Source organism: Homo sapiens, chromosome 2 (genome assembly GCF_000001405.40).
Source record: "Homo sapiens chromosome 2, GRCh38.p14 Primary Assembly".
Classification (NCBI taxonomy): domain Eukaryota; kingdom Metazoa; phylum Chordata; class Mammalia; order Primates; family Hominidae; genus Homo; species Homo sapiens.
Window position 1 is genome coordinate 164,545,796 of NC_000002.12, and position 26,349 is coordinate 164,572,144.

The 26,349-nt window shown below is 36.8% G+C and overlaps 1 protein-coding gene across 6 annotated transcripts in view; it reads right to left on the reverse strand.

Annotated features, from left to right (window-relative positions):
- Positions 1-26,349, reverse strand: part of GRB14 (growth factor receptor bound protein 14) — a 129,066-nt gene that overhangs the window by 53,379 nt on the left and 49,338 nt on the right. For 4 of the 6 annotated variants that reach the window (XR_427085.4, NM_004490.3, XM_047444014.1 and 1 more), the window contains exon 3: positions 1,865-2,021. Coding sequence is in view for 4 of the 6 variants with exons in the window: in NM_004490.3 (NP_004481.2) it covers positions 1,865-2,021 (157 nt within the window). In the remaining 2 variants the exon portion in view is untranslated. Of the gene's footprint in view, positions 1-1,864; positions 2,022-22,519; positions 22,701-26,349 lie in introns of those variants that run through there. The other 2 variants (NM_001303422.2, XM_047444013.1) reach the window with 2 other exon arrangements.

Here is a 26,349-nt window from a genome sequence, read left to right on the forward strand (position 1 = left end):
CAGGGGACAAAATTGTTGCCAAATCCTGTCTCACTCTAGTAGAACGAATTCTTTAGAACATACTAAAAGAATATTTTTAAGCCCTTCACACTTCACAATAGAGATGCATTTCCAAATAAAACATTTTAAGAGGCTACTCCTTGTGTTTATGTCTTAAAAATGTGAAGGACTTACTTATTTCTTCAAGAAAAATTTAGGGTCTACACTACCATAAAGAGAACCACTGCTATGGATATTTGTACCTGTCTGTGCTACAATTGACTCAAAATGTGGTCCAAATGACAGCTTACTTTTTTAAATAAATCAAACACTTTGCATTGTGCTAATAAAATTATTATGAAATGTATTCTTCCATCAATTTGAGCTGTTTTAGGTCTAAAATTCCCATAGATCTTTAAATGAAGAGGGGTGGGTAAATTATAAAAATTTCTAGGCTTGTTTCTACTTTGCGCTACTTTCTTTCTCTTGTGACTACAAATAACAAAAAATAAAAGAATAAAGAAATGATTATTCATAATTCTTTTCTATTTTTGTACCTCGGAAGAAAATCTTCACCATAGGATCTATACTAAAATAAACAGAAAAGCAGGACTTCCTGAAAAATAATGGCAAAGAAGCCACTGGCTTCACTCTCCCCAACAGAAAACCAAAACCAAATAAATAGCACTGAGATTTTCCCCAGAAGTATCCCAGAACTCAAATATGAAGATGAGGCAGTTCCACGGGCGACAGGAAAGTAAAGAAAAGCTCCAGATGGTAAGAGAATCAAACTTCCATATCCACCACGATGCCCCTCCCACAAGCTTGTGAAAAACTTTCCCCCAACTCACTGTGTTTACACCAGAAAAAGTGAGATTAAGGTAGACAACCTCTTACCCCATCTTGGGTTCCCTGGCAGAAGATCTGCCTCTGTCTTAATCATAGGAAGCATCGTGATTGCCTGATGGGAGAAATATCCCTGAGGACAGGCAGAGACATAAAAGGGGGCAGGACAACCATTCCCAGCCCCAGAAACTCTGCTCTGCAACCCAGCCAAAGGAGACACCAAATCAGAGTGGCTGTTCAGCAGCACCACACGATAGGAGGTTCATCCCACAGGTCCCCTGGCCATGGGTCCCTAGCCAGCTGTCCCAAACTGTTGGGATATCCCCTTTGGGAACCTCTCCCATTTGGAAAGTGCAGTGCTCTGACCTTCACTAGAGCCAAGGCGAACCTAGGTTTAAGGCACCACCTAGAGCCAAAAAGAAGGCAATGACCTATGGGCAAAAACCTCTAAGGAATATATCCAATAAAGAACAAAAGAAGCCAGGTAAAGAAGGCTCGAATAAATAACTAATCCTTCAGTGCCAAGATACAGACACACATCCACAAAAACAACAGCGAACAGGGAACCTTGATCTCTCTAAACAGACACAAGGAACCAGTTAGTGACCCCAGCAAGACAGCGATATGTGAGCTCTGACCAAGAATTTAAAATAGCACCTTTAAGGAAATTCAGTGACTGCCAGGATGAAACTGATAAAATCAATTCAGATATTTATAAGATAAATTTAACAATGAGATTGAATTTTTTAAAAAATACAACAAATTGTGAACCTGAGAACTACATTTTCTGAACTGAAAAATTCATTAGAGGCTCTCAACAGCAGAATGGATCAAGCAGAGGAAAACATCAATGAGTTGGCTATCTGAAAATACATGATCAGAAGGAAAAAAAGAAAAAAGAATGAAAAGGAACTGGGATCACCTACAAGATATAGAAAATTATCTCAAAACACCAAATCTAAGAATTATTGGTGTTCAAGAGGGAGCTGAACAAGAAATAGAAAAGCAATGATGTGAGACAATAACTCCGTATCCTTACCTACACCTATGTGAGGCAGGTGCTCAAAAAGGGTCCAGCTGTGGTCATCAATGTAATGATTCTTCAGGATCAACAGCTGACAAACATCTCGAGCCGTTATGTCACTGGGTACATCTAAAGCCCTGCTGGTTTCATCTTCACTGTATACTTTAATCACCTGTGTAGGTAGAAACAAGAAAAAGACCTAAAATATTCCTGTTTGTGTTTTTAATAAATTTTATTGTATATATTTAAAGTATACAACACGATATTATGAGATATATATAAATAAATAGCAAAATGGTTATATAGTAAAACAAATTAACATGTCTATCACCTCACATAGCTACCCATTTTCTTGCAAGTGTGGCAAAGGCAGCTAAAATCTACTCATTTCTCAAAATTCCAAATTCAATACACTATTATGAACCATAGTTCTCATGTTGTGCATTAGAGCTCTAGATGTGTTCATCCCACACATCTGCTACTTTGTATCCTTGATCTACATCTCCTCATTTCCCTCCACCCCACCACTGTCCTTGGTAACCACTGTTTTGTTCTCTATCTCTGCATATTTGACTTATTTTTAGACAGCACATCTGAGATCATGCAATATTTTTCCTTCTGTTAGAAAAGAAAGAAGGACTTATTTCACTAAGCTTAATGTCCTCTGGGTTCATCCATGTTGTAGCAAATGGCAGCATATTATTTTTTAAGGCTGAATAGTATTTCATTGTGTGTATCTGTATGTGTGTGTGTGTGTGTAATGCAAATATAAAATAAATTATGTATATATGCTCCAATATACACCCATCAGTGGGACATGGTACTTAAGTTGTTTCCATATCTTAGCTATTGTAAATAATGCTGCAATGAACATGGGAGTGCAGGCATCTCTGTGACATGCTGACTTAAACTCCTTTGGGTATATATCCAAGAGAGGGATTGCTGGGTCATATATGGCAGTTCTATTTTTAATTTCTTTACAAATATCCATACTGTTTTTCAGAATGACCGTATCAATCCACATTCTCACCAACAGTGTACTAGCATTCCCTTTTTTCTACACTTTCACCAATACTTGTTATCTCTTGTCTTTTTGATAACAGCCATCCTAATGGGTATGAGGTAATATCTCATAGTGGTTTTGATTTGCATTTACCTGATGATTGGTGATGTTGACCACCTTTTCATATACCTGTTAGCCATTTTTATGTCTATTCAGGCCCTTTGCTTTTTTTATTTTTTTTGAAGGAGTTTCATTCTTTCACTCATGTTGCACAGGCTGGAGTGCAATGGTGCGATTTCGGCTCACTGTAGCCTCCACCTCCCAGGTTCAAATGATTCTCCTCTCTCAGCCTCCTGAGTAGCTGGGATTACAGGCATGCGCCACCACACCCAGCTAATTTTGTATTTTTTTTTAGTAGAGACGGGCTTTCGCCACGTTAGTCAGGCTGGTCTCGAACTCTGACCTCAGGTGATCTGCCTTCCTCACCCTCCCAAAGTGCTAGGGTTACAGGTATGAACCACCACACCCAGTCCTTCGCTCATTTTTAATTGGGTTAATTGTTTTTCTGATATTGAGTTGTATGAGTTATTTATAAATTTTGGATATTAACCCTTATAATTACATGTGGTTTGCAAATACTTTTTCCCAATCCACAGGTAGCCTTTTTATTAAAATATTTTATTAAAATATCATTCTGGTAAGTCAGCAAAGATTAATCAGTTATAATTCCTTATACAGTGTCTTCTACATTTAATTTTCTTATACACTGAATGAATGTTATCTATCCAAGACTTGTTTATGTGCCAAAGCTACTTTGTCCGACAACTTTCATTCTCTTCAGTGTCTAAACTAAAGGTCATTCAATAACTATTTAGTATTACTTCCCCACCACTTTGGTCTATGAAAAAGCTATGTATCTCTTATCAATATTATAGCTGGGCACAGTGGCTCACATCTGTAATCTCAGCACTTTGGGAGGTTTAGGCAGGCGGATCACATGAGGTCAGGAGTTCAAGACCAGCCTGGCCAACATGGCAAAACCCCATCTCCACTAAAAATATAAAAAATTAGCTGGGCATGGTGGTACATGCCTGTAATTCCAGCTACTTGGGAGGCTGAGGCACAAGAATCACTTGAACCTGGGAGGCGGAGGTTGCAGTGAGCCAGGATCGTGCCACTGCACTCCAGCCTAGGTGACAGAGTGAGACTCCATCTAAAAATAAAATAAAATAAAATAAAATAAAATAAAATAAAATAAAATAAAATAAAATAAAATAAAATAAAATAAAATTTCATATTCTATATTTAAATTCCGTAAATAACCCTAGTAACATGGGTGATTTATTGCAGATATACTCAAGTAGTACAAGGAGGGAATAGAATCAGACTTTATGAAAAGATTTCTCCATCTCAGGTATGAATATTTCAGTAAAAATTGGCCAGATGTTCACCCAATCCTTTCTCTTTTCTCCCCTGCAATTAGTTGTGGCCAAAGAATTGAATTTTAGTCAATGGAATGTAAGCATATAGAATGTTACACTTCCTGGCCCATGAAAATCTCCTACATATTGTCCTCCATTGCTTTTTGCCATTCTCCCACTGAACAGAATGACTACAAAGGCCTAGAGGAAAGGAAAGCCATAAGACAGAATGAGCCTTTGTTCCTAAATAACCACATAGAAGACGCCTAACTATGAAAACCCATATAAGACTCTGACATGAGCAAGAAATAAACTTCTATTCTGTTAACTCACTGTGAATTAGGATTTATCTATTACAGCAGCTAATGTTATAAATTAAAATGATATATCAATTCTGTCCTATCTTTTAAAAATTATACTTAATGACAGTGCAATGAAATAGTTGCTCTCTCTTACAATGATATAAAGTGGTAAAACTATTTTGTACATCTATTGGAGAATATTTACCAGAAGTATTAAATGGTCTATTCCTTTGACCCAGCAATTTTTCTTAAGCAAACTACTTTAAACATCTGAACTAAATATGGAAAATGGCTTTAGGCATTACATGTCCAGCAAAGCATTATGTGTCATTCTATTGACCTAAACATCCAACAATAAAAAAAAAAATGCAAACTACAGTATTTTCACAGAATGGAATATTATATGGTCCCTAAAAATGTTATTCAAGAAAATGATATAAGAGCACTTAAAAATTCTTCAGTGGTACGTGCAAAATTACTTGGCTTTGTCTACCAGTCGCCTACTCCTCTTCTGATAGATAGATACATTTCCTTTTAGAGTACCACTCCCTCCCTCACCAGCAGACTTGGTGCTCTGGTAGCTCCACCTTCAGCTCAGTGACAGTTTGCTGGAGCTGCTGGAACTGGCTTGCAAGAGCTGATTATTAAATATTCAGGAGCTCTAAAAGCCAGGCATCTTAAAATCAGCCATGATGGAAGTATTTATATGATAGAAACCAGTAAATTTTACATATAAGGTCTTTTTAAAATTTTTATTTTTAGAGCCAGTTTATCAGTGCACCATCGCCTCAGCTCCAGGGTGGAAGATGTTTTCTATATTGACTAATCAGTACCCAGACAACAGTGATTATTTAACAGATGAGCATGTGACTTAATCAGAAGCAGTTAGAGCCAATTTAGATATATGTTCACATAACCTTGGCACACACTTCCTTTTCTACTGGACCTAAGCCTGGGAAAATGTAGGCTGGAGCTGCTACTGTTACTAAAAGAACAACTGTGGGCAAATGGGGCCCACACAGAGTAAGTCATAATGCAATAGACTGAATGTTTGTACCCTCCAAAATTCACATGTTGAATCCCTAGTCCCAGATGATGATATCTGGAAGTGGGGCCTTTGGGAGGTAATTACATTATGCAGGTGGGGCCCCTATAAATAGGATTAGTGTCCTATGGAATAGATCACTATGTGACCCAAACCAAATAAGACAAACACTTGCAAACCATTCTTTCTTAGTTGCACGTGTGATTCCTTCTACCTGGAAGAAATTTCAGTGCTCCGCTCACAAACAACATGCTTTCTCTGGCAAACTTCCACCTAAATTTGGCCCTGGTTCCAATCACACTTGCTCCAGAAAGCCTTCCCTGACTGTCCAAGGGTTCATAATGCGCCTCTTTTATGTGCTCTCATTTTGTAACTTTTTGTTTGCATGTCTTTCTCCCCAGCTATGTGTCTTAGACTGTTTTGTGCTGATATTAAGGAATATCTGAGGCTGGGTAATTTATAAAGAAAAGAGGTTTATTCGGCTCATGGTTCTGCAGGCTGGAAAAGAAGGATGGTGCTGGCATCTGCTTCTGGTAAGGAGCTCAGGATGCTTACAGTCATGTCAGAAGACAAAGCGGGAGCAGGGGTGTCACATGGCAAGAGAGAAAGCAAGAGGGAGGGGAGGGCGGTGTAAGATGCTTTTTAACAAACAGATCTCTTGGGAGCTAAGAGTGAAAACTCACTCAATCCCATGAATATAGCACCAGGACATTCATGAGGAATCTGTCCCCATGACCCAAACACCTCCTGCTAAGCTCCACCTCCAACATTGGCGATCAAATTTCAACATGAGATTTGGAGAGGACAAATATCCAAACTGTATCACCCTCCTAGCAAAAACTCTTTTAAGAAAAGTCTCTCTTTATTCATAATTTATCATTGTATCACAGGAACCTACCCCAGGGTGATACATGACTTAATACAGATATGTGGAGCGAGGGAACTTTGTACCACTTACAAAGCCTATCACAGTGCATTGTAAATGGTAGGTACTCTATATAATGGCAAATTTTAATAGAAAAGTATTTTCTGCCTTTGAGTATATAATTAATTCCCATTTTTATGCTCAGAAAATTAAAAATATTCTCAATGAGTAAGAGACAAATACTTTCTCATCATACAAATTCCTAGGTAGGAACTGACTCAATATGGCAGTTCTGAGTTTTTGAAGTCATTGAGGCTGATACTAAGTCATATGAAAAAGGTCATAAAAACACACTGTCAAAATCAGATGCTATTCTCTCTGAATTTTCACTTCATTCAAATTTTGGTGAATACATGTCATGCCCTATGATGTCAAGGTCTATTTGGAGTCTCAGTGTTTCTCATGTTTGCATCTTGGTAGGCCACTGCTCTTAAGGATATATCTTCAGTATGTGCATCTATACTAGAAAACTGATGGAATTCTGAGGCATGCTGCTGTGCTTACAACTGCCTGGACTAAACACTCGTGGGTGCTTCTGCCAAAGATGATGTGAAGATGACCACTCCTGAGAGAACAAGAGGAACCAACTCTGGGACTGCTCTTTCATATGCAGCAATAACATCACTGTTTCTGTTCCCTGCTGCACATTCCATGCCAAGAAATGGGGGGCCTGAAGAATGATCTAGGGGTTGCTGAAAATGTTCTCTGCACCTCCTGACTACCCCCATATGTTTTCCTACAGTAAGCTCTCATCACCTGGGGTAACAGAAGTATGCCTCTTATTTTGCATGTTCTATCTCTTATTTCAGAGAAGCTAAGAAAATGAAAAACTAGAGACATTCTGAAGGCTAAACCAATTTTTTTTAAAAAAGGGCTAGAAAAGAGCAAGAGGTAAAGTTGGATAAAATGAGAAAGTGACTAAATAATCAGGATATGCCACTATTTTCTTCAGACTATGTCACTGCAAATTTAGACATAAGTTGACAAGAATTGAGATGCACAAATTTAGAGGGGCTTAGGCCAACTTGAATTTCTGGAATAAGTGCATATATTTCATTGTTAGAATGAATAAAACCTGCTGAGAGAAAAATTTAATATTTTTGTTTGAAATCCATTTCAAGCCCTTATTTTTTAAAAATCCTATTTAATGCTCACACTTATCCAAAATACACGTTCATCTATGAATAACGGAATTATATTTAGGTTGATATTCCACGCAGTAAATCTCTGTCATCTCTTAGATATAGTCTGTAATTATCAAAATTCCTTATACGATGAATGGGATGCCTTTGTTAAAAAGTCTCATTTAATTTCTATTTATTCCTCCTTAAAATAAATGAAAGGGCCAGTGCGGTGGCTCACACCTGTAATCCCAGCACTTTGGGAGGCCAAGGCGGGCAGATCACCTGAGGTCAGGAGTTCGAGACCAGCTTGACCAACATGGAGAAACCCCATCTCTACTAAAAATACAATATTAGCCAGGAGTGGCTGTAATCCCAGCTACTCAGGAGGCTGAGGCAGGAGAATCGCTTGAACCCAGGAGGCGGAGGTTGCGGTGAGCCAAGATCGCGCCACTGCACTCCAGCCTGGGCAACAAGAGCAACACTCTGACTCAATAAAGAATATATATATATATAAAAGGAAAAGACAACTGAAGCCTTAACTCTCTAGTAGAGTTGAATATGCCTCTTGCCCAAAGAATTACTACACTAAACCTTCCTATTTAAGAAGAATTCAACTCATCACAAAAACTGCATGACTATATGGGTTAAAACTAAGTTAAAGACTTTTGTGATCATGTAAAAAACAAATAGCAGAGCTGTTCTTAAGAACCACTGAAGCAAAATATTAGTATTCTATTTCCTATACATACTAAAAGGTAAAAAAAAATTTAAACATTATATAATCATGCTATTTAATAAAGGGATATTATACATTTCTTTAATAAAAGGATATTATACATTTCCAGTGCAGTGGCCCAAATTCATAGCTTGCTTTAGAGTGAGGAGTATATTATTCATATCAATTTATTTACAAGATCTTTTGAAATTGGATGCCAACAGGAAGAAATTCTTCCTGGACCCTAAAGAAGAATAGGAAGAAATTTTGTTCCATCAAAGGATTGAAAGTTGACTAGCAAAAGAAACATAGCACTGATAATGTTTATCTATAACAACCCACCAGCATAAACAGAGCGTCCAAAGAAGGCCAAGATTGTACACACTGCCTGTGTTGGAAAGCCCTTCTGTGTCACTCTAATCCTGACAATCACAACAACCTTGGCCTTTGGAGTAGTTTACAGCTTCAAAAACTGCCCTAGGAGCACATGGCACCTAGCAATGCAAATTTAATACGTAGTCACTGCAGCCCTTGCAGGGATATGCTGGAATGTGGGTGAAGCAAATCTCTGTTTTGGCTGACATTCTATCAAGGCATGTTTATACACTTTACACATCAACTCCTCCCCTAGACTGCTCTTCATAAAAAGTAAGTGGAGGAAAGAGATTAAAAAAACTAACACAACCCATTTTTAGAATACTAGATGCAACAATGTTAAAGCACAAGAAGAAATGGTAACTTTTCAGAAAAAAAAACTTGAGGCCTTTTAAAGCCTCTAGACTAAAAGCGACAAAATATTTAAAATGAAAGTCAAAGGCCATTTCTAAAAATAAATAAACAAAATAAAGTCAAGTCAGTATGTATCACCTTGCTCCCAAAGCATACTTAGTATTTCTCTGCATCACCTGAAATTCTAAGAACATATTTGGAAAGCTATAACTAAGGAAAAAAGTGAGCAAAGGCTAAGCAGTCAGCCTTTCTCCTCCTCCTTGCTGACTCCAAGGAATGGGATGGCATGGGATAGCCAGATCCTTTTCAATGTGAATTCATTCTAGAATATTTGAAATGAATTCAGCATTGTCAATGGTCGTTTGAGAATGTCACGGAGCAGAAGAGGGCTTTGGATCTGCCATGACTGGAAAGTCATTAATTATGCCATAGGTTTGCCCCACTTATTCTTTGTTTCTTCAAGAATAGAGAGAAGAGAAATCATCATTCAGCAGGTAAAATAATGAGCATGGATTAAACATAAAACAATGAGTAAGAATCCATAAGATGAAGCAAGAGAAAGAAAAAAAAGAGCAAAAGTGAAAGAAAAAGATATTTGGGCATAGTTATCTATGGTTATCTTCTGTGTCAAAGTTTCTATTTTAGGAAATTTTAAATTCAATAGTTAAACCTAACTAAATTACTATTAATTAATTAGTCTTCAATTTAAAATAATTTAAATATTATATTTATTTTAAATTTATTTTAAATATCATATTTAAATATGACCTTAGCATGATGAGACATATATAATTTTTAAACAGAAATATAAATTCATTAATTTATGTATTGTATCTATTAATTATATATGTATAGTTAACATATAGTTAATACAAGATAAAAGAAACAAGGCTCACAGGAATTTGCTCTGAACTGTGTCCTAAAGCTAAGCTTATTTCTACAGCTCTTTGAAAGTTTATCATCTAACCACAGTAAAATTATAAAAGAGCTTATAATGTTTCAATATTTTTCTTTATTATTTTTAATAGATAGGCAATGTACTAATAGATAGGCAATGTACTAATATTTCATGAGAAATATTTTTATATCAGGGTCAGAGTAGTCCTGAATTTTTACATTCTTATAAATAAGAAACACAGTGTCCTAAGATAACAAGAGACATTTTTAGATATCTTGAATTAAGCAACTCAGTAGTTCCCTTGAAAGAAAAGGAATGGGAAGCAATGTAGTCATTATTACTTATTCCAAATCTCTAATTGTGTTTTTAAAATTTTGCATTTTAAAAATAAAGACTGCTCCAAAAGACCCTAACAGCTCAAGAATATCCACTGCTTTCTTATTGCTATCCTGTATTATTTTGCTAGCTGTCAAATATTTACTAAGAGAAAAACAGTATATAGTTTTGAGAAATCAGGTTGCAAGAAAAGCCTCCAATCCTCTCCACTTGCGAGGGATAGTCAAAAACACATTTTCCTTGAGCATGAACAGTACATGTTAAATTAGTTATAAGACATTACTTAAAACAGATACTGTCACCAATATCAGAATTACAAGGATTGACACAAACAGGTTTATTCCACATCCTTGTACCCCCTTTCACTTTATTCCCTACAATCCTGTCCTCTGACTCCAATCCTACATTTTTTTCTGTTTCTTGAAAAAGTCATGCTCCTTCTCAACACAGGGCCCTTGCACATGCTACTGCTTGTGCTTAGAACACGGTTTCCCTACCCTCTACTTTTTCTGCTCCCTCATATCTTAGGATAAACCATTATTTCTGGGAGGAAGCTTCCAAAGACCCTCCAGCTTAGGTCCAGGCCCTTTGTTGCAAGCATGCAAGTGTGCAACTATAATTACTACGTGTTGCCCTTCACCATAAGAACGATGTATGACATCAGGGACCACTGTTTTCTCCTCTTTATATCCCCAGCAGTGAGCAAAATGTGGGGCACACAGCGACAGTCAAAACGATTCCTTCAGTGATGAAAGAAACCATCATGTACACCCCTGTATGAGACAGTATTAGTGAATTCCAAAATGGTAGTGTTGACACCTCACGGAGTTTGAAAACCTCTATGGGAGAAAAGACACATGTGAACCAAAGAGAAAATTTAGGCAAATTTTCATGAAACTTATGGACTGAACAAAGGTGGCTTAGGTGACTGCTGAGAGCCATTTCATATCTGGGATTCTGAAAGAATAAGGAAAGAAGGTAAGAAAACACCTGTGTGGGACAAACATGAGCAAACATACTGAGGAAGAAAGGAGTGAACAATACTCAGGAAAGAATAACCAGACCACACTAAATGGAGAGCAGAAGGGCTAAGTTATGAGGACAGGGAGTAAGCATGGGTGCCAGGCAGCCTGAGGAGGGGGTGCCTTCACCCGGTACTGTGGTACACTGGTTTCCATCAGTGCAAACTAGCCAGGGGCCACCACAATAGGAAATGCTTTTCAAGATACACAAGTGATGGGTAGCTTTTTAAAAAGTTGGCAACGTAGAAATAATTCTTAAAAATTAAATGTTATTTAATAATAAAAATGACAGTTTTACATGAATATGATTACAAAGTGGTAAGAGAATCAGGATAAATATCCACATGATGACTTAATCACTTAGGAAAGGGTTCAGCTACAATAACAGAAAGTCATTCCTACCTACAATGGGTTAGCCAGATTGAGGTTGACTTCCTTCTCACATTTGAAACCAGGGCAGGCAGCTCAGGATTTGGTGAGGCAGTTCCATCAAGTCACCCCTGACCAAGGCTCTTTCTGTCCTTTCACAATCTTTGAGGTATAGCTCTTATCATTAAGGTCGCAAGATGGATCATCTCCACACCAGCTCTGTAAAAACCCAGCCCTGGTATAGATTTGTATGATATTACATTTCTGCAGTAAATTATAGGGTCATGCCTGGCTAAAGAGATTCAGAAATAGAGAATTTGTGTTCCTGGGGATCCACAGAGAGCTTCCAGGAGTCCTGGATATGAATTCAAAATCCACAGATGATGTTTTATGATGCATTAATTTCCCATCCAGCAACAGGCTAAAGAGTAGTGGTCTCACTACTGGAAATGCCCTAAACTTGGCACAGAAGGGAAGTTAGCACTGTCACACCAGATAGCCTGGGGCACTGACACTGCAGCAGCATGCCGCATCTAGGGTTCCAACCAAGAGAAAAAAAGCCTGCAGGCAAGAAGAGGCTCAGGACATCTCCTTAAAGCCCCTCCATTCACCTTTATCCTCCTACTCTATTATTTACCTTTTCTGCTCTCCTTGTCTCAGGCCAAGAGCCATGAAGAGTACTCATTCTTTGGGCCTCCTTTCTTCCTATTAGGTAGAAAGAAGGACTCCAACTCAAGTGGGGGTTCAATTTGACAAAGAGAAATTCAAGCCCTTTCAGTTGGCTCTGTTATGTGGCAGAAAAAAAGATAAAAGAAACTGCTCCAATTTCATTATAAAAGAAAGCAAACATTAACAACTAAGTTAGAAAATATCCTAAGTTATCACATACAGACACACACACACAGACACACATGTTAAGACCTAAATCCAATATGAATAATAAAGAGGTTCAAATCACAAATCCCACACTAAAGTTTCCGATGATTTCATCAAAGCTGTGTTCTCTGAAGTTTCAGTGTTTTTAATACTCATGCAATTCCTGCTAAGATGCCAGGGCTAATTCATCTTTGAAACAAGAAAACCTCTGCAAGTGCTAATGCTAATTCATATTTAAAGCAGAATACCACTGGCCATGCTTATGTTGGACACAATGTTATTTCAGGATCTCATTTCAGTTTTTAAGCAATAGTTTATTCCCAGAACAGCCATAAGACATGTCTAAGTGAAAAAGTTAAAAATTGATTCACACAGTGAGAAAGAAGAACAAGTAGTAGGGCAGAGGTGGAATAAGTGTTTAGAAGAGAGGGAAAACGTGAGGTGGAGAAAGATACTGTTTGCTAGAGCCCAAGACACATCAGACTTTATTGCAATTATTGAGTTGTCTGGCATCAATTGAAGCCCTTTTAGGAACTACCTTATTTCCTTGATTTTTTAAAAGCACATTTTTTTCACATTTAACTTCTCTGAAACCTGGATGTAACTTACCCTTAATGGTATGTTATAGTTTTATTGGAAGTATATAAAATAATGATGCTTCTTACAACTTAAAGTGCCATACAATCAATAAAATATGCTATGTTCAACCTTCCCAGGACATTTGGGGGTATTATTTCATAAACTTATAATAGTGTACAAAACATCACTTTCTAGATCCTAACATTCCCATGCAGTAACAAACACTGGGAACAACTGATGTATACCCATTTTGTAATTTTACTTTTCCTTCATTTTTCTAAATATTTATTTATTTACTTTTCTTATTTTATTTTATTTTTCCATGAGTTATTGGGGTACAGGTGGTATTTGGTTACATGAATAAGTTCCTTAGTGGTGATTTGTGAGATTTTGGTGCACCCGTCACCTGAGCAGCATATACTGCACCATTTGTAGTCTTTTATCCCTTGCCTGCTCCCTCTTTCCCCCCAAGTCCCCGAAGTCCATTGTATCATTCTTATGCCTTTGCATCTTCATAGCTTAGCTCTCACATATTAGTGAGAACATATGATGTTTGATTTTTTATTCCCGAGTCACTTCACTTAGAATAATAGTCTCCAATTTCATCCAGGTTGCTACAAATGCCATTACTGCATTCCTCTTTATGGCTGAGTAGTATTCCATCATATAAATATACCAGTTTGTTTACCCACTCGTTGACTGATGGGCATTTGGGTTGGTTACACGATTTTGCCATTGTGGATTGTGCTGCTGTAAACATGAATGTGCAAGTATCTTTTCGTATAATGACTTATTTTCCTCTGGGTAGATACCCAGAAGTGGGATTGCTGGGTCAAATGGTAGTTCTACTTTTAGTTATTAAAGGAATCTCCATACTGTTTTCCATAGTGGTTGTACTAGTTTACATTTTTCTAAATATTTATTTTACATCAGTGAAAGACATGCATAGAGCACAGTGTTGTAAAAGAAATGGAATCTATACTGTTTAGAATCATAAAATACTAAAGGTTAGAAGGGTTCCTGGAGAACATCCACTGAAATCCTCCCATTTCACAAATGAAAAAGCTGAAGCTGGAGTCTTGACCTGCTCAAGGACCTCCAAATGGTCACCAGCTGAGCCAGCCACAGAACCCCATTTCTGGCTCCCACCTGATGCTGTATTCTTACCATTCTGTTCGTCCAGTATTTAGGCTGCTTTAAGCTGCTGCTTCTACATGACATCTTGGATAAAAGTATTAGATAAATAAACACTAGAACATAATTAGATGTATACATACATATATCCCAAAGCACCTAGCTTTTTGAGTGTCAAAAAAAGACTATTTTTCTTCATTTTGTTTTGTTTTTTCACTTTTCATAGCTTCTCGCCAGAATAATTGCAAATACTGAAGTAGCCAGCAGAGGGAGTCTTTATTTCTCAGTTTGTGCAAATAGAGAAAATATCATGTTTCGAAAACTGCAACCTTGTTAAAACTATGGGGTTTCTGTTTGATACAATCACAAGCTTGTGACAAAGTTAATATCTATTTTTTCAGAATTAGTAAATATTTGAATTTTTAAGATAAATGATTTCTACATATTAAACATTAATAAGAAGGATTGGGGGGGCATATGTATATATACATATGTGTCACCTCACCAGGAACCTTTCCTGGAACTCAAACTTGGAGTTTTCGCTGGGATTTCGAACAGTTATATCAAATTTTTTCTTCAAATATTGATAAAACTACCCAAGATAATTTCAGTTTTCAAACTGCAAAATAATAATTCCTGGTATTTTCCCAAACAAAGCCTGAATGTATACGTTCAAATATGCATGTCTGATTAGGAGGCTTTCTGACAATGCTGTTCTTGCCAAAACAAATTTTGAATTCCTCTTTGAGAATTATCATAATAGCAAGCATTATTAATATCCTACAGGGGTAGAAAATCCTTATCCTTTCTAGGGGTTTAGAATCTGAAATTACCAAAAGTCTTGCTTCTTTTTTTTCCTGCCAAAAAAGAGATTATTATTTTTAATATTTGGCTTAGAGTTCTGGGGCACAGCCATGAGAGCCAGCCCTACAGACCGCCCCAAGCAGTAGTCTGAGACCGTTCATTAGCCCAGCTATTTTTAATCAGCCTTCACTGCCAAATGTGGAACATGCAGTACAGTGTGCAAAATCATGATGCCCAGCAACTGTACTCATGGGGGTTCAGCCCAGGTGTTCACAGTGGACAGGGGATCCTGGAATCTGCTGTGATCAGATCTCAGACCCCAAACTTATTATTAGCCATGAGTTTTAGACTCCTCATACTGTAAAATGGGCAAAATGCTGGCAAACTGATAGCACTCAACTAATGTTAGCAATTATTATTATAAAATTTTGAAAGCAAAATAAGGCATTTCTGAATAAGTCCCAAGAGACCCCTACAGTCCTGTTGAGCTCTAAGAAACTCTGACCTGATGGTTGAATCACTATGTCTTTGAGGCAAAACTGAGTGCACAGCAAGGAAAAGTAACTAGGAGAGCAAAAGGCAGATTGGCAGAAAAGGTGAGATTCGTCCCATGAAAAGACTACAGGTGAGAGGACAAATTACTGCAGCTACACGGTGATGAGTAGCTATGCAGTACATGTGCCCAGGCAATTCTGAGGGACAGCCTCCTGTGCTAGGTGGAGCAGAGGCCCGGACCTCTGTCCCACCTCTGTCATTTATGAGCGAGGTGCTTTGGCCAAGACACTTAACTCTCTAAGCCAATTTTCCTCATCCAAAAATGGGTTTGGCCACCAAGCTTTTAGGGTTCTTATGAGGGTTAAAGTGAATGTGTAATCAATGCTGAACATGTTGTAGCTGCTATTTTTTATTGTTCTTTGTGAAGGGCAATACTCTGTGTGAAGGGTATACCAAATTGCCCACTGCAGCAAGTTGGAGCTAGATAAAGGTAATGAAAAGGCCTGAGCATTACAGCTTTTCATCCCAAAAGATGAGAAACTTGGCAAAAATTAAAGAAAAGCAACAGAGACAAATATTAGGAAGGAAATAGCAGGTCAGTATCTAAAGAGCTCAATCTTGCCTTTACAAAAATTGTTTTTATCCAACTAATTGGTAATTAGATACCAACTTTGTGCCTTCTATGTGCTGGGCATTGGGGTTCAATGATGATCAAAAGTAACAAGTTCTCACCATCATACAGCTAAGGTTCTATTAATAGTAACACCACTTGCCTACTGAAGCAACGTCTTAATACTAGACCTACTTTTATCCCTTTCAAATATACAACCCAGAAGTCCCCGTCTAATACTCCTTAGGACACTGAAAGGAGGAGTAATTAACCACCTATCTTGTATTTAAATCTACGTTCCCAAAGATTTTAAAAAATATATTCATCAGCGTATATAGTTGGATTCATTTTTTTTAATTCAAATTAGAGACCTTCTAAAGTTACAGAAAGGAAAGCAGTGGGAGCAAGCATTTGAAAGATATATTGTCTTTCTCTCCCTGGCTGAAATCTATGAAGAAAAACCACTTTTTGTTTGACTCACTTTCTACTATGAAATCTTTGGATAACCACTTTAGGAGAATAGGGCACGGAAAGTTTAAATTCTCAGTCACAGGGAAATTTAAACTGTTTATGAAACTAGTAAAACATGCCATTTCACAGGTGGGGAAAAAGGGAAATTCATATTTGTTAGACTTCTACTATGTGTGAAATGCTTCTAAATATTTATTCTGTTGAATCCTCACAACTGTTCTGTGAGGAAGCATCATCATCCCCAAGATAGAGAAACTGATTCTCAGAGGGTTTTGAAAGAATGCTCCCAAAGCCAGGGCACTGGAGAGTGATGAAGCTGAACTCAAACTCTGGGTTTCCTGGCTCTAAAGCATACATATAATCTGCTACAACACACTTCCTAAAAACTCACTTCTCAGGAAAAGAAACATTTCACTAAAATGCAAATACCATTCATCTGTGTGACACCCTTCCTGGTTGAGTATGCAACTAAGTTACTCTGTACAAAAGTAAAAAGGGCAGGAGAAATATCAAGGTTTAGCAAGAATGAGAACTCTGGATAAAAAGCAGTAACAATGCCCACTACCACTTCACTATCACCTTCCAAGCAAGTCCACCATCTAAACTAAGACCACCATCCATGGCCTTCCACGACCCTCTTCTGCACAGGAAATCTGCTCTCTCCCCACTTATTACCATACCTACAATCCCTATACAAGTAATAGAATATTATTTGCTCAAAAAGCATAGCTACATTTCATATCTGGCACCAGAATAACAAAAATCCCAGACAAATATTTACTAAATGTCTAATATGTCCAAGGCACTTGTAGAGGAGATGGCGAGTTACCCACCAATATCCACCCTTCCTCTCTTCCTTCCTGATGAATCCTGATTCTGGTGAGGAGGGCAGTGTGCTACACTCCAGGCCCGCATTTCCTGACTCCTCTTGTATCCAGAGTTGGCCAACAAGATGTAAGCAGAAACTCCTGGTTACTCCACAATGGCACGTTAACTGGTATAAAACTCACGAGCCTGTTCTTGGTCCTTCACATTCTCTGTGCAAAGACTGTAAACAGGATGACTGGAAATTTACATTTATCTTTCCATAAAAGGAAAAAGGACCCACACTAGAGAAGAAATAATAGAAAGCGAGAAGGAGTTCAGTTGCCTGAGGACATTGTGGGGCTGCAACATTAGCTTTGGACTTATCCTTGTAAAGTGAAAGAAAAATAAATCTCTTTTCCTCCTTAATCCACAGTCCTTTGTGTTTTTTGGTTACATGAAATTACATTCTGCCCATAAATGACAAAACATTTTAAAGATTTCTTCCTTTAAAATACTAAGATCTAGTTGTAAGACCAAAAATCAAAAGACAACTTTTGGAAACCAAATGGTGGTCCAAGATATACAAAAATAAACAAGATAGAGCAACTGAAAGTCATATTGTACACACCTATGGACGGCAATATGACTTAAATATTATTTAAAAGGTAATAATAAAATTGATGTTACAGGGCTGTAGTGGTTGAATTGACAAATGAGTAATAAAGGTGGGTCCACTGATACTAAATCAAGGCACCTTGAAGATAAAGGTGAAGCAAAAGAGTCTTAGAAGGCTTTAGGATGAGAACACAGCCTGAGCCGACACTTAGGCAATAGACAGCATTTGGGAAAGCAAATGAGCCTGGTGTTGTCTATAGGCTGCAGAGCACAATTCTGGGAGCAGAAGTGCAGATATACAGATTTTAAAAGCCGTTTGAAGCCCAAGGAGGCAAACGATATGCTGCAGTGAAGGCTTCAAGGGAAGCTGGGCAGGCTGAGGGCCAGGCAGGCCCTGGAGCATGGCAAATGCTAAGGAAGCCTGGACTGATTTTGTGCATGTTTAAAAGATTCTGGGAAAAATAGTGATGTGATGATGTGTTCTTTCCTCCACTAAATCACTTTTAGAAAATCATAGCAATTAGTCTAATTGTATGAGGAAAGAAATGATTATAACATGAACTATTCTCTTATATGAATGGGGAATTAGATCTTCTCATAAATGGCATTGCTCCGTATTACACTCATGAATTTACAATTTTCAAAAGGATTTGAATCTTAAAAAAATATATGTCATTAAAAGTATCCCTTTTTTTCTCTGAGATTTCAGAAGATACTTCAGGATCTTGTGTGCTTATGAACATCTCCTGTAATTGTAGCATGGATGAAGAATGCAAAAATGTTTGCAAACATAACTTAAAAACAATGTTGGCTGGGCACGGTGGCTCATGTCTGTAATCCCAGCACTTTGGGAGGCCGAGGTGGGCAGATCACAAGGTCAGGAGATGGAGACCATCATGGCTAACATGGTGAAACCCCTTCTCTAGTAAAAATACAAAAATTTAGCTAGGTGTGGTGGCACACGCCTGTAGTCCCAGCTACTGAGGAGGCTGAGGCAGGAGAATCGTTCGAACCCAGGAGGCAGAGGTTGCAGTGAGCCAAGATGGCGCCACTGCACTCCAGCCTGGGTGACAGAGCAAGACTCAATCTCAAAAAACAAACAAATAAACAAACAAACAAAAAATGTTAATCTGATAGAGACATGAAATATGCCTGACCCACCGAATCAGGATATGGATGTAAGGCCTTCTGACCTGGTAGTGTTTCCATAAAAGAATGTGAATTTTATATTATACTTAGTTTATACTTTACAATACTTGAGCCTTATGTTAACTCTCCGGGACCTTAAAATGTTTTCTTTATGTAATGTGCCAATCTGGAGTTCCAGGTATAAACTGTCTTTCTATCACACACTCACACACACACACACACACACACACTTGGCTGCTTACAATTGCTTTCTGAATAAAATGTTTTCTATGCTAGAGCATAAGGGAGTTGGTGGAGGTGCAGAGGAAGATGAAAGGATTTGCCTAAGCTAATTCCAGACTTGAATGGCAATTATACCCACCATAAGGCAATTTCATTTCCATATTAATTTCAGGAGGTAACACGTATCTAGGAGAAGCATACTGGAAGTCACAAGATCTAGATTCTATTTCTAGCTCTGCCACTGACCTTCTGGGTGACCTTGCATAAGTCACTCAACACCCAAGAGACTCAGTCTTCTCATTTGAAAAAGTAAAAAGCTACAACCTAGTGATGATCTGAGAAAAATGCGATGAGGTAAAAGATTCATTCACAATGTTTGCTGAGGATGTGATCGTTTCTGAAGCACATGAGGAACGTTCTTCACCAGAACCTTAATTCACTTAAATCAGAGAAATCAGATCCTAATAGAATTTGGAAGTGAACATTTTCTTTCCAATTTACTTGATAGAGAATCTACCAAAATACCTTTCTTCTCAAAGATCAAGGCGTACTTTCTCTGCTACAAAATAGATCTATACCACATGAAGGGCCATGTTTAAAATTCAAGTTCCTAAGCACTACCAGAGACACTTACAGCCACTTGGATCAGACACACTACCTGATAAGAAAATTACTCCCTATTGCTACGGAGCATTTTCAGAATGCTCTCAGCCTTTTAAATGATTAGGATTCCATTTGATAAATTATTTGTCAAGGGCCACTCATTCAGGATGAGTGAACTTTACACCAAACCTGTGGAAAAAGCACCTGCCTTCATGGGAAAATAAGTTGCTCCCCAAATTCTCTGAGAAATGCTTGTACTGATTTATAAGATCATTTAAAATTATGGCATATATGGAAAATAAATTAATTACAAGTATGAAATAACTTCTTATATTGGAAGAAAAAATTAATCATGGTGTGACCAGGGCAGATGGATGATTTTTAAATCAGAAAATACCCAACTCCTAAAATAAAAGACATTAAGATCTTCAGAACAATCAAATGGGTATTTTCAGAGTTAAAATATCAGGAGAAGCACATAATGGTGTGCTAAATTATATAAACACCAAAATATGTGCACTCACTGAAAAAAATAGCATAGACTTGAGTCTAGGGAATTTTGACTTTTATAAATATTATAACAGAAACTTGACAAGAAGCTTATTATTAAAATACCACGATAAATCACAATGAGGTGACCATTGGCAGCTCAGATGTAACATCAATAATAACCACCGCTTTCCAGAGTAATCTTGTTTTCCTACTTGGCAAACAGTGCTAGAAGTTATTTTTCTAGCCAAGTTTTCCCATAACCAATTTCCCCTAGGCTAATTGTTCAAACTCCTTGAAAATTACAGCATTCTTTCCTAATGTTTTATAATAATTCTAAAATAATAAAAATAATTTACATATTTTACTATAACCATGAAAATATAAAATATTTGGTTCACAGAATTATAGACACAAATAAGACTGAAGATATTATTTACTGAAAACTCCTCAGTTTGTTATACAGATGAGGAAGTAAAGACTCCAAGAGTTTACTGGATTTGCCCAAAGTCACAGGGCTAGTAAATGGAGAGTCCAGATAGTACATTTTCCATCATACCAACATGTCATCAAAAACAAACCATATGATAGAAGTTTCTTAGTCAATCTAAACTGCAATATTAACCGGATAAAGAAGAATTCAAACATGAGAACATAGACTTGATAAATGTTAATATGCCTTTTCACATCCTCAGTGAGTCCAGGAACCTATATTGTCATTATTAATGCACTGCTAAGTCCAATTCCAAATAAAAGTTAAAACCCAAAGCAAAATATTTTTAATTAAATTTGCTTACAATTAGCAAAAGGCCTCAAGAAAGATAAAGAACTCATGTTGGCAAAATTATCATATAGCTGTTCCAATGCCAAATAAAATATTCTCAGTAAATAAATGGTTGACTGGATAAGAAAATAAGCTGAAAATCTAAAAATTAAAAATAGTAAAGAGGCACTTCGTTTTTAAAAACTATAGCCACTTTAACTGTTAGATTTGCCATGTTTCAAATAAATTGCAACATGACCTTTGACTTAATGGAATGCACTGATAGTTAACAGTTAACTATTAAAAGTTGAGTTCAAAAATAAACACTACAGTTTCTAGTGTCACCAAAACCATTTGGTAAGCATATTGCCAAAACTGAGTTTTAGTGCCTTCCTTCTCAATGCGACAGATTTGATTCTTTAAGAAGTCCAGTGCAATGTTCTTATTTTGGAGAGTTACAAGAAAAGTTTACTATGACTACATGACATGGTTGCATATACCACCTTGTAAAATGCAATGCTGTAAGTGAGACATAAAAATAATCTTTACAAAAAACTAATAAATAAAATATTTTCATACACAGGATTGACTGCATTAATAATTAACAGAAAGCCCTTTCACAGGGGAATTTAATGGAAAGTTTTTCTTAAGCAAATACGCAGAAGCTCAATAGAAATGGGTAGAAACCTGAGAATAAACTGGTAACACATGTTTAAACAGTAAAATAATTGTATAGTCTATTCAACAATGAAGAGATTGATATATTATGAATTATGGTGAAACAAAGAAACTATTCCTTAGTAAACAAATATAAGACATAACAGCAGATTTCCTACTGAGCTAAAAACAAAGAGGCTTGAAGTTACAGTAGAAAGAAAAAAAAGGAAAAGTTTCAATACAGTCTCTAAATCACAGTGACCTGAAATCGAGATCAAACTTCTTTTAGGTGAAAGTTTTTAACTATAGCGATGTCCTAGCGCAGTATTATTTTTCCTAGTTCAATTCCAATAATATGTCCTTTAATTTTACCTACAACTTTAATGAATTATAGGCTCTTTCAAGGGTATGTAAGTAAAGCTTCCTATGTATTAATAAACACACAGTAACAGGGGAAAAAAAGCAGCAAGAAAAATTAAAGAAAAAAAGGATAAAGAAGTCACATACCCTTTTCTGTAGAATTATTGGCGTTATTGCAGGCAGAGTGACTCTTCTTGCACTCAAACTCATGCCTGCTCTTCTTAGAATGATCCTGTCTCGTAGGTCATGGACAAAATAAAAGAAATCTTTTATGGTTACTCCTTGGGAATCTCAGGGCTCAGTGCAATGAAACAACTAGGAAAGTAATAAATGTCACCCTGCTTATGTGATTCCAATCTACCCAAAGCCAATTAAGGATGGCTGTGGGACAGGACAAGGCAGCAACCAATCAAAGCCCGGAAAACCCCGCCTTTGTCCTTGGAAACACATTCTGATACTTTTGTTTATGATATTTAAAGAACCAGATTAACAGGCATCTAGTTCGCTCAACTTTTTTTCCAAAACAGTGCAATTCAATGCCATCTTTGTTGACTAGGCAGTTATGTCTTTACTAAAGCATTTCAACATATGGCAGATAAGAATCTGTTTACATTGGTCTATTTAAAGTATATAAATATATTAATGAACTAAATTTACTTATGCTATTCATAAAATTGATGAAGAGATCAACTGGAACATACACAAGGCACAAAAAATAATCCTGAGGTTAGAATTGGCACAAAGTGTTAATTTCTATGGTATAATAAAAGAGTTTTAATATATATTAATATCTTTCATTTCCTAAACATTAAAATTTTTGTATTATAAGCCTTCCAGCTATCCTTGATATCACACACTGTTAAATATTATTTTAACAATAAACCTAAATAATAGTATTAAATACAAAGAGGGGATTAAACTACAATATATCAATCTCAAATACTTATGTTTTTAAAAAGCACAAATGTGTGTGATGTAGCATATTTCATTCCATTAAAAGCATTTAAAAAATAACCACTGCCAAAACTTTCTCAAAATTTTAATGACCATTTTGCATTTCTTCTCATAAAAACTGAAAAGTTTATTCTAATGTTTCTAGGGGAGGGAGGCTGGAGGAGGTTTACAATGGAAAACATCTATAACTAACAAGAAAAATTTCAATGAAGTCTAAATAAAAAATGAAAGAAACACTCAAAAATGACAAAAAGGATTGCAACGTTAAAACTAATCTGAGCTTTTACAATTGTAAAATCTCTTCTGGACTGACATCTGGACAAGCTTCACTGAACTGCTCAATGCTCTTCAATCCTGACCCACTGCCTTCAGCGGGAGAAGAACTGGTAATTTCCAGATTACAATGTGGTTGTTGTAGTAACAAGGCAAAATGGAAGATACTCAGCAACACAGACACAAACTTTCCATTTCGTTATCTTGACTGCTACTAGGCAGTGTTCACTTTACTGCTTTATACATAAGTGAGTTTAATATGCATGGTGAGCTCATATTCCTCAAAAGAAAAAAGAGACACTACAACTCCAAGGATCCCTGCTTTGAATTTCAAAACCAAAAATCCCTCAGAATGGTAGTTGGGAGTGGCAGTAATGCGCTTAATATAAAAAGTCACAGATCTATTTTGGAGGCATTAATTAATTTGATCCTTATCCAGTTAGGTTTATCATGATCTTTTAAAAGAAAATTACCAAGAAAGCAAATACCAACTAATACAGCGATGGGGGGTTAGCATTTGTGAAGTAAAAGATTCTGTTCTAACCTTGAGCTACTTTTCAGCAAGCCAACAATAACAAAGACCATGGTAACAAATAATTTCAAGAATATCACCCATAATATTTGGCCTTATCTGTCTTCTTTTCTCAATTTAGCCTTCAAATATTACAAAGTGTTATCTCTGCATCCTGGCTAACACTGTGAAACCCTGCCTCTACTAAAAATACAAAAAATTAGCCAGGCATGGTGGCACGTGCCTGTAGTCCCAGCTACTCGGAAGGCTGAGAGGCAGGAGAATTGCTTGAACCCGGGAGGTGGAGGTTGCAGTGAGCCGAGATCGCGCCACTGCACTCCAGCCTGGGTGACAGAGCAAGACTCCATCTAAAAAAAAAAAAAAAAAAAAAAAAAGTGTTATCTCTGGTCTCAAAAATTTTACTGGGGTTCCATCATAATGAAAGTAATTCATTTCACTAAATTATCAAGCAAAGTACTATTTGCCAAACCCTGTATCAGGCAGTAGGAACACACTATTATTAAGACAGTTAAGGTCACTGTCTCATAGTGGAATAGAGATATTAATTTTTAAGTTAAAATATCCCATTCAGTGGTAAGTTGAGACTAACAGTGATTAAATGCTAAGTATCAAGGGTGCACCAAGGTAGAAGCAACTGCACAATAGGGGTAAGATCAGGGCAGGCTGCAAGAAGGAAACGGCACTTGCTTTGAAAAGTGAATAGAGGTGAGGAATATGCAGAACTTGAAAACTGATGTGAACACAGGGTCAAGGTCTCAAAGTTTACTCTGAGGTTTGAAGTCTAGATGATGGGGAAGTTAGAAATGCTGTTTTGTATCACACCATAAAGCCTGTTAAACACTATGTATAAAATGAACGCTTCAATTCAAAACAGTATCCAGGTCCTGTATAGATTACAGTGCAATATATACATGCCCTAAAAGGGCTTAAAAACACTTAATAGATGACTAGCTGTTTACGTGTGTGTGATAGGTCATCCCTTCAGAACACTGGAAAACTAAGTTTCTAAATTTTCAGGGAAAATTATGAAGAGCAAAATTTGGCATTTTGTGACTATGTTATCAAAAAGGCAAATGTCTTTGAAAAATGAAGCTTACCGATACTTTTCATAGTCAGCAGACTGAACAAGATAGCACCCTGCATACTTAAGACAGGTGGAATCTCATTTTTCTGTAATCCTTTGCAGGTGCTCATATTGACTGTGCTTTATCTTACTTCCTAGTTATTTTAGACACTGATTCCAAATTTAACTTCAGCCTATTCTTTTTTCTCATTAATTATTATAAATGACTTTGCCACTCACTAACCTTGTCACTTGACCCTTAATTTTCTTCAGTTGCAAAAATGAGGATAAAAAACTATGACCAAAACTTTCAGAACTGCTGTGAGGATCAAAGGAAATCAAGTTTGCAGAAGGCCTGGAAGAGCCCAAGGCAGACACTAACAAAACACTCCTTAAACTCCCGCTGCAGAGAATTGGTCTTTTATCTCCAAAAACGAAACTAACATTATAAGATGTTTTTAACACAACAGAGTCAACAATAAAATATTACAGAATAGCAGTGTACATTATTTAGAATTTTATTTGATAATTGGATAGAACAAGAGTAAATGTGTCACTTAAAATATTTTCATATCAATATTTCAATTAGGAAAAATAAAAATAACTATTATTGTGATTATCAATAATATTTATGTGAGCACCCATTATGTGCCAGGCACTGAGCTAGTTTTCACTTAATGCTCACAACTCTATAAGGTACTAGCTATTGAATAGATGAGGAAATTAAGGCCAGAAGAGCAGGCAGCTAAGAAATGGTCTTGGGTTTAAGCACATACTGCAAAAGAACTTGACCAAGTTCACAAAGTCCATAGCCACTAAGCCAGGGAGAAAACTGTAATCTGGCTCTCTCCAAGGCACCCCACTATTCCACTCTACAACATGTGTTTCCACATTTTATTATTAAATACATAGCTTGATACATTAGCATAAAATGTCACATTCATACAGCCCTTGTTCCTGACGTACCCAAGCATTTGTTTGATTAACCTGCTTTATAAATATGTATTGAAGACCTTACTATGTGTAAAGTGCTGTGCTGTTTATTATGGAGAATTCAAAGTTAATCAACTCATGACTCCTCTTTACCAAAACAGCTGATGCAGGGTGACACATAAACCATCAGTTATTATAGTATACAAAGTGGAATCTGGGCAG